The 8,861-nt window shown below is 49.0% G+C and overlaps 1 protein-coding gene across 40 annotated transcripts in view, besides 4 other annotated features; it reads left to right on the top strand.

Annotated features, from left to right (window-relative positions):
• SUGP2 (SURP and G-patch domain containing 2) overlaps nt 1-8,861 on the top strand; it is a 42,958-nt gene that overhangs the window by 707 nt on the left and 33,390 nt on the right. For 39 of the 40 annotated variants that reach the window (XR_430124.5, XR_001753576.3, XR_007066515.1 and 36 more), the window contains exons 2-3: nt 2,056-2,187; nt 6,912-8,519. Coding sequence is in view for 13 of the 40 variants with exons in the window: in NM_001321698.1 (NP_001308627.1) it covers nt 2,056-2,187; nt 6,912-8,519 (1,740 nt within the window). In the remaining 27 variants the exon portion in view is untranslated. Of the gene's footprint in view, nt 1-15; nt 91-2,055; nt 2,188-6,911; nt 8,520-8,861 lie in introns of those variants that run through there. The other variant, XM_047438027.1, reaches the window with a different exon arrangement.
• Nucleotides 382-461: a silencer, noted in NCBI's record as "silent region_10427". NCBI's record gives its function as "represses an Ori minimal core promoter by ATAC-STARR-seq in GM12878 lymphoblastoid cells {active_cell/tissue: GM12878}" and the evidence as "EXISTENCE:reporter gene assay evidence [ECO:0000049][PMID:35858748]".
• Nucleotides 382-889: a biological region, named in NCBI's record as "NANOG hESC enhancer GRCh37_chr19:19143058-19143559".
• Nucleotides 388-889: an enhancer, noted in NCBI's record as "NANOG hESC enhancer chr19:19143058-19143559 (GRCh37/hg19 assembly coordinates)". NCBI's record gives its function as "activates a minimal SCP1, AML or CMV promoter by ChIP-STARR-seq in naive H9 embryonic stem cells {active_cell/tissue: H9 hESC(naive)}" and the evidence as "EXISTENCE:reporter gene assay evidence [ECO:0000049][PMID:30033119]".
• Nucleotides 6,704-7,903: an enhancer, noted in NCBI's record as "BRD4-independent group 4 enhancer chr19:19136044-19137243 (GRCh37/hg19 assembly coordinates)". NCBI's record gives its function as "activates an origin of replication core promoter dependent on BRD2, P300/CBP, MED14 and CDK7 cofactors, and independent of BRD4, by STARR-seq in HCT116 cells {active_cell/tissue: HCT116}" and the evidence as "EXISTENCE:reporter gene assay evidence [ECO:0000049][PMID:35650434]".

The raw sequence follows: 8,861 nt of genomic DNA, 5'->3' as shown, positions 1-8,861 counted from the left end.
AACGGCGCCCAGCGCTGCATCGGGCCCTTGCCCTCTTTAGAACCGGTTCAGCCCCCACACCAGCCCCTTTACTGGCTGCCCATTCCATAGGTGGGGAAACGGAAGCACAGAAAGCTTAGAATCGTGTGATTTGAACCTGGGTCACCTGACCCGGGAACCCTGCCCTTTGCCAGCAGAGAACAAGGGGGCGCCCCGGGAAAAGGGCTGAAGGATGGGACTGGGGGAGGCGGGTGGGGGAGGCGGTGATCGTGATGGGAAATGGACCCTACGGGTTGTCTCTTGAAGTTGGAGGTTTTGCGAAGCGGGATATCTTGATGGTTAAGGATGCAGCCCCTGGACCCCAAAATGTTGCTTAATCTTTTTACTCATTCTTCGGGGCTTTGGATGCACGAATACCCTTTTTGCCAGGTTCAAATCTGGGCTGTCTGGTCTTGAATGGGTCGTTGAGTCTGTCTCCCTTTGCCTCCTCACCCTAATGTCATTCATAACAGGACCCGCCTCTTCAGTGGGTGGTTGGGAGATCGCGCAAGGACCCAGCGCAGAATGAACTGTCACTAGTTCATTGTCATTGGTTGGGGGTCCCGCCACTCACTGTCAAGAGGCTTCTTTTAGAAGGGAAGGAAGTTCTCAGAGCCTCTGTGCCCTGCTGAGTCTGTGAATGGGAAAAGAGTGATCCTGGGCCAGGCGCAGTGGCTCACGGCCTGGAATCCCAGCACTTTGGGAGGCCGAAGCGGGCGAATCACTTGAGGTCAGGAATTCAAGACCAGCCTGGCCAACATGGTGAAACTCCATCTCTACCTAAAATATAAAAATTAGTCGGATGCGGTGGCGGACTCCTGTAATCCCAGCTACTCAGGAGGCTGAGGCAGGAGAATTGCTTGAGTCCAGGAGGCGGAGGTTGCAGTTAGCCGAGATCATGCCACTGCACTCCAGCCTGGGCAACAGGGAGAGTCTCAAAAAAAGGAAGAAAAAAAAAAAAAAGATTGATCTCTTCTTTCCTAACCACGATTTGCGAGGGTTGTGGTCCCACCCTTCCTACTCTGTTATGCTCAGTTATGTGTGTTGGTTGACACCTTCCTCCAGCAGATAGAACTGCTTTCACAGAGCTGCTTTTAATGGATTCCAAGGAGATGGGCCCAGAGAAGGTTTGTCTTGCTCCTTTTCAGCCAGCACACACCTGTGAACTTCGTGAGGGCAGAGACCCCCTTAAAAGAGTCCAGACAAGGTGGGCAGATTGCTTGAGGTCAGGAGTTCGAGACCAGCCTGGCCAACCTAGCAAAACCCTGTCTCTACTTAAAAAAAAAAAAAAAAAAGATAAATAAAAAGGGTCCAGCTTGCCTCTGAAGTACCATGCGAGGATTATGGATTACTGCCTCCTTACTTCGAGGATTAAGTGAAATAGAGCAGGTTCTGTGAGCACGCATTTTTTTTTTCTTTGAGACAGTCTCGCTCTGTCCCCCAGTCTGGAGGGCAGTGGCATGATCTCGGCTCACTGCAACCTCTGTCTCCCTGGTTCAAGCAATTCCCATGCCTCAGCCTCCTGAGTATTTGGGATTACAGGCACGTGCCACCATGCCTGGTGAAATTTTTTTTTTTTTTTTTTTGAGACGGAGTCTCACTCTGTTACCCATGCTGGAGTGCAGTGGCATGATCTCGGCCCACTGCAACCTCCGCCTCCTGGGTTCAAGCAATTCTCTTGCCACAGCCTCCCAAGTAGCTGGGATTAAAGGCAGGCACCACCATGCCCGGCTAATTTTTGTATTTTTAGTAGAGACAGGGTTTTGCCATGTTGGCCAGGCTGGTCTCCAACTCCTGACTTTAAATGATCCGCTCACCTCAGCCTCCCAAAGTCCTGGGATTACAGGTGTGAGCCACCACACCCAGCCTGAATTTTTTGTATTTTAGTTTCATCATGTTGCCTAGGCTGGTCTCGAACTCCTGAGCTCAGGTGATCCGCCCACCTCGACCTCCCAAAGTGCCAGGATTACAGGTATGAGCCACCGCGCCCAGCTCCAAGTTGTTGCTCTTAGTGTATTTTTTTCTCTCTCACCATAGGGCAAAATAACATGGCAGCCAGACGAATTACACAGGAGACTTTTGATGCTGTATTACAAGAAAAAGCCAAACGATATCACATGGATGCCAGTGGTGAGGCTGTAAGCGAAACTCTTCAGTTTAAAGCTCAAGGTAAAATAAAGTGTTGTTGTTGTAGTTGTTGTTTTGGTAGGGGTGTATCTTAGGGCCAAGGCAGGAAGATTACAATACCTTGGGCAAATAATACCAGTCCTCTGATCCTTAGTTTCCTTATTTAGGAGGAGGTAAAGGTTTTTATTTTGGTTTGGTTTCTTTTTTGTGATAGGGTCTTACTCTCTCCCCCAGGCTGAAGTGCAGTGGCGCAGTTTTAGCTCACTGCACCCTTGAACTCCTAGGCTCAAGCCATCCTTCCATCTCTGCCTCCCAGAGTGCTGGGATTATAGGCATGAGCCACTGCACTTGGTCAGGGGATAATGTTTTGATCTGTCAGTCATCATTATGTAGTTATCTGGAGCTTCTCACTGGATATCCTCCCCGACCCACCTCAAGACAGTTTTGTTTATTGTTTGTTTGTTTGTTTGTTTGTTTTGAGACGGAGTTTCACTCTTGTCTCCCAGGCTGGAGGGCAATGGAGGGATCTTGGCTCACTGCAACCTCCGCCTCTTGGCTCACTGCAACCTCCGCCTCCTGGGTTCAAGCGATTCTCCTGCCTCAGCCTCCTGAGTAGCTGGGATTACGGGCATGCACCACCACGCCCAGCTAATTTTTCTATTTGTAGTAGAGATGAGGTTTTACCATGTTGGCCAGGCTGGTCTCGAACTCCCGACCTCAGGTGATCCACTTGCCTTGGCCTCCCAAGATGCTGGGATTACAGGCATGAGCCACCGAGCCCAGCCCAGTTTTGTTTTTTGGTGTTTTTTATGTTTTTGTTTTTTTTGTTTTTTGTTTTTTTTAATAGATATGGAGTCTTGCTATGTTTTCAGGCTGGTCTGCAACTCCTGGGCTCAAGTGATCCTCCCACCTCTGCCTTCAGCATGTTGCGATTACAGGCGTGAGCCACTGCTCCCAGCCCCAAGACAGGTTCTTGGATCCATTTCCTGGCTCCATCCCTGTCACCGCTGCCCAGGTTTAAGCTCTACTAGTTCTTTTTTTTTTTTATTTGAGACAGAGTCTTGTACTGTCGCCCAGGCTGGAGTGCAGTGACGTGATTTTGGCTCACTGCGGCCTGTGCCTCCTGGATTCAAGCGATTCTCCTGCCTCAGCCTCCCGAGTAGCTGAGATTACAGGTGCCTGCCACCATGCCCGGCTAATTTTTTTGTATTTATTTTAGTAAAGATGGGGTTTCACTATGTTGGTCAGGCTGGTTTTGAACTCCTGACCTTGTGATCTGCCCGCCTCGGCCTCCCAGAGTGCTGGGAGGATCACAAGGTCAGGAGATCGAGACCATCCTGTGAATGGTGAAACCCCGTCTTTACTAAAAATCAAAAAAAAAAAAAAATTAGCCAGGTGTGGTTGTGGGTGCCTGTGGTCCCAGCTACTTGGGAGGCTGAGGCGGGATAATGCCGTGAACCCGGGAGGTGGAGCCTGCAGTGAGCCAAGATTGCGCTACTGCACTCCAGCCTGGGCGACAGAGCGAGACTCCATCTCAAAAAAAAAAAAAGAAAAAAAATGGCCGGGCGCAGTGGCTCAAGCCTGTAATCCTAGCACTTTGGGAGGCCGAGGCGGGCGGATCACAAGGTCAGGAGATCGAGACCATCCTGGCTAACACGGTGAAACCCTGTCTCTACTAAAAATATTAGCCGGGCGTGGTGGCGGGCGCCTGTAGTCCCAGCTACTCAGGAGGCTGAGGCAGGAGAATGGCGTGAACCCAGGAGGCGGAGGTTGCAGCGAGCCAAGGTTGTGCCACTGCACTCCAGCCTGGGTGACAGAGCAAGACTCCGTCTCAAAAAAAAAAAAATTTATCTGGGCATGGTGGCATGCGCCTATGGCCCTGGCTACTTGGGAGGCTGAGGCAGGAAGTTCGCTTGTGCCCAGGAAGTCGAGGCTGCAGTAAGCTGTGTTTGTGCCATTATACTCCAGCCTGGGCCAAAGAGTGAGACCCTGTCTCAAAAAAAGACGGCCAGGTGCAGTGGCTTACACATGTAATCTCAGCACTTTGGGAGGCCAAGGTGGGCAGATCACCTGAGGTCAGGAGTTTGAGACCAGTCTGGCCAACATGGTGAAACCCCGTGTCTACTAAAAATACAAAAATGTGGCAGGCCCCTATAATCCCAGCTACCCAGGAGGCTGAGACAGAAGAATAGCTTGAACCCAGGAGGTGGAGGTTGCAGTGAGCCGAGATCGCACCACTGCGCTCCAGCGTGGGTGACAGAACGAGACTCCGTCTCAAAAAAAAAAGACAGATTAGGGGGCCGTGGGTGGGAGAGGACTAGAAACCTAGCAGTATGCTAGGTGATTCTGGAACATTTCTGTGTTGCAAAGCAGTCTATCGTTTAGCCTTTCTCTGTTTCTCTGCTCCACTCTGAACTTTTCATCTCCTCATAAAGGGTATGAGAAAATTCTCTTGAGTAGAATCCAGCCATCACTCTCTGTCACTAATGTTCCCTCCCTAATCATGCCATCAATACCAATCATCAATACCTGGGTTATCACAGTGGATTTCTTGCAGGAACATCCACGTCTGTGCTCATCTCCTTTAATCTGTTCCCTGTGCAGCAGCCAGTGAGATCATCCCTCTGCTTAGAACTCTTCACTAGCCTTCTGTCTCTCCCAGAGTAAATTCCAGAGTACCACTGAGGGCCCGACTTGGATCTGGTACTCCTTCTCCATTTGTGTCTCTTATATTAGTGGTTCCCTAACTTTGTAGCACGTTAGCGTCACCTGGGGGCCTTTTAAAAACCCTGATGCCCAGGTCATCCCCTTATTTAATTAAGTAAGAATGTCTGGGGAGGTGGTCCCTGGGGCTCCAGTAGCAGAGTTTGGGAGCTGCCTTCCTACCACTTGGCCTTTCATTCCCTGTGTTCCCTTCTGTCTACATTGGCCCCCTACTGGTCCCACCTCAGGGTCTTGTCCTCATTCCCCCTCTGCCTGGAAGGCTTCCCTTTGTAACTGTACGGTCTGGCTCCTCATGCCAGGCCACTGCTGCTAGATAAAGTGTCAGAGCTATGCAGCGTGACACGGTGGCTCACGCCTGTAATCCCAGCACTTTGGGAGGCCGAGGTGGGCGGATCACAAGGTCAGGAGTTCCAGACCAGCCTGGCCAATGTGGTGAAACCCTGTCTCTACTAAAAATACAAAAGTTAGCCGGGCATGGTGGCGGGTGCCTGTATTCCCAGCTACTCAGGAGGCGGAGGCAGGAGAATCGCTTGAACCTGGGAGGTGGAGGTTGCGGTGAGCCAAGATCGCACCCTTGCACTCCGGCACTCCAGCCTGGGCAACAGAGCGAGACTCTGTCTCAAAAAAAAAAAGAAAAAAAAAAGTGTCAGAGCTACCCTCCTTGACTAGCCTGTCTCAAAATGTCATTGCCTCCTCAGGTTCCCACGTGCTTGATTTGTCTTCTTGGTACTTAACTTGCATCTGATATATTTTTGTTTATTGTCTGGCTCTCTCAACTGACAAGTTTGGAAGAGTTCTCATTTTCTTGCTGTAACTTCAGTGCCTAGTACAGTGCTTGCGCACAGTAGGTGCCCAGTTTGTACTTGTTGAACAAGTGAACTAGGATTTATATACGACTTTGGCTTCCTGTGGCCTCTTAACCTATTGCTACCTCCTGGCACCTCTCCTTCCCTGTTCATTTGATTTTTTTTTTAACTAGGTCATCGATTCTGATTGAAAAGCTAGAAAGAAAGGCATTCCATGAAAACTCTCCCTGAGGCCCACTGTTCTCATATGCCCGTAGTTCACTTCTCTTCCTCGCTTCTTACAGTTTCTCCATGTGTGATTAAGCAAATGCAAGTACATCTTCCCCTCCGCCCTTTTTTATTTTTGACAGAGATAGGGTCTCGCTATGTTGCCCAGGCTGGTCTCAAACTCCTGGGCTCAAGTGATCCTCCCACCTCGGCCTCCCAAAGTGCAGGGATTATAGGTTTGAGCCACTGTGCCTGGCCCATTTCCCCTTTTCTACATGGAGAAGGACAGAATTGGGCACTGTTCAGTTTCCATCATGGCCTCTCTTGATGTATCTTGTTAAGCTTCTGCCTTCCCTCCTGCCTGCCTCGGTCTGTGGTTTTTCAGCTCCAGAGAGAGGGTTGATTGGCCTGGCCGACCTTTCCGAGGGATGGGTTCAGCCAGCTTTGGGTCAGCTGTGGTGGGTGTGGTGTTAGCTATGGTTCCTCTAGCCTCACGGTGGCACTGTGGGCTGAGACTTCCTTCTAAGAGGCAGTGAAGGCAGGTAGCCTCAATAAAACCTGTCTGTTCTGAGATAGAAGTAGAAACACAGAAGTGCTCCAGTTGCAGTAAAAATATCCAGGTTATTTGGGGACCAAACACCCTTTCCTCAGACTAAAAGAGGGATTGTCAACCCAGATGGCTAGAGAGTAGGGGGATCTGAATGAGCGAGGGCTGTTGGTGCCAACTTAGAGAGTCTGTGTCTTGCCCGTCAGGCTGCTACTGCCCAGCCTGGGTTGACGTCATCAGGGCAAACTCAGGCTTGGTGCTTATAGGTCTTCTGTTTTAGTAAGTAGTCGATCCAGATTTTTAAGTGACACCACACGCATTTTAAATGTTGGCAGCAAATACAGATTGGCAAAAAGCACTGAGGTGTATAAAGCAGTTTTGCTGCCTGGTGATCCGTGGACTGTTTGTTTGCACTGTTTGCATTCTCTGGTCTAAAGTATCTTTTGGCTTCTTCTTTTTTTTTTTTGGATGGTTTATTTCAGATCTCTTAAGGGCAGTCCCAAGATCCAGAGCAGAGATGTATGATGACGTCCACAGCGATGGCAGATACTCCCTCAGTGGATCTGTAGCTCACTCTAGAGATGCCGGAAGAGAAGGCCTGAGAAGTGACGTATTTCCAGGGCCTTCCTTCAGATCAAGCAACCCTTCCATCAGTGATGACAGCTACTTTCGCAAAGAATGTGGCCGGGATCTGGAATTTTCTCACTCTGATTCTCGGGACCAGGTCATTGGCCACCGGAAATTGGGGCATTTCCGTTCTCAGGACTGGAAATTTGCGCTCCGTGGTTCTTGGGAACAAGACTTTGGCCATCCAGTTTCTCAAGAGTCCTCTTGGTCACAGGAGTATAGTTTTGGTCCCTCTGCAGTTTTGGGGGACTTTGGATCTTCCAGGCTGATTGAGAAAGAGTGTTTGGAGAAGGAGAGTCGGGATTATGACGTGGACCATCCTGGGGAGGCTGACTCTGTGCTTAGGGGCGGCAGTCAAGTCCAGGCCAGAGGTCGAGCTCTAAACATCGTTGACCAGGAAGGTTCCCTCCTAGGAAAGGGGGAGACTCAGGGCCTGCTCACAGCTAAGGGGGGTGTTGGGAAACTTGTCACATTGAGAAATGTGAGCACAAAAAAAATACCCACCGTGAATCGTATTACTCCCAAAACTCAGGGCACTAACCAAATCCAGAAAAACACTCCAAGTCCTGATGTGACCCTGGGGACAAACCCAGGGACAGAAGATATCCAGTTCCCCATTCAGAAGATCCCTCTGGGGCTGGATCTGAAGAATCTTCGGCTCCCCAGAAGAAAGATGAGCTTTGACATCATAGATAAGTCTGATGTTTTTTCAAGATTTGGGATAGAAATAATCAAATGGGCAGGATTCCACACCATAAAAGATGATATTAAATTTTCCCAACTTTTCCAGACTCTCTTTGAACTTGAAACAGAAACCTGTGCTAAAATGCTTGCCTCATTCAAATGTTCCTTAAAACCAGAGCACAGAGATTTTTGCTTTTTTACTATCAAATTTTTAAAGCACTCTGCTTTGAAAACACCCAGAGTTGATAATGAGTTTTTAAACATGCTTTTAGACAAAGGTGCTGTGAAGACCAAAAATTGCTTTTTTGAAATCATAAAGCCTTTTGACAAGTACATAATGAGACTTCAAGACCGGCTTCTGAAGAGTGTCACACCTTTGCTTATGGCCTGCAATGCCTACGAGCTAAGTGTCAAGATGAAGACCCTCAGTAACCCCCTGGACTTGGCTCTTGCCCTAGAAACCACCAACTCTCTCTGCCGGAAGTCTTTGGCCCTTTTGGGACAGACATTTTCCTTGGCCTCTTCTTTCCGGCAGGAGAAAATCTTAGAAGCTGTCGGCCTGCAAGATATAGCTCCCTCACCTGCTGCGTTTCCAAACTTCGAAGACTCCACTTTGTTTGGGCGAGAGTACATAGACCACCTGAAGGCCTGGCTAGTCAGCAGCGGATGTCCCCTCCAGGTTAAGAAAGCCGAACCAGAGCCGATGCGAGAGGAGGAGAAAATGATTCCTCCTACGAAACCTGAAATTCAGGCCAAGGCTCCAAGTAGTCTGAGTGATGGTAAGGAAATCAGCCAAAGTTTCTATTTGTTGTTTTTCGTGTTTCTTTGGTAATGTCTTTTATTCGAGATTTTTTTACACAGAAGTTCTTTAGCCAATTGGAAACATATCAGGATTTTAGTAGAAAACGCACATTGGCCAATATATGTCTGCCATTCATTCTGTGAATGTGTATTAGGAATCTGCTGTTTACCATAGAAGTCTTTAGACAGCCGGGTGTGGTGGCACATGCCTGTAATCCCAGCACTTTGGGAGGCTGAGGCGGCAGATCACTTAAGACCAAGAGTTTGAGACCAGCCTGGCCAACATGGTGAAACCCCATCTCTACTAAAAATACAAAAAC

The sequence above is a fragment of the Homo sapiens genome, chromosome 19 (genome assembly GCF_000001405.40).
Source record: "Homo sapiens chromosome 19, GRCh38.p14 Primary Assembly".
In the NCBI taxonomy this organism is placed as follows: Eukaryota; Metazoa; Chordata; class Mammalia; order Primates; family Hominidae; genus Homo; species Homo sapiens.
The sequence above is the reverse complement of the archived record's forward strand: the minus strand, read 5'-3'. Positions and strand labels throughout refer to the sequence as shown.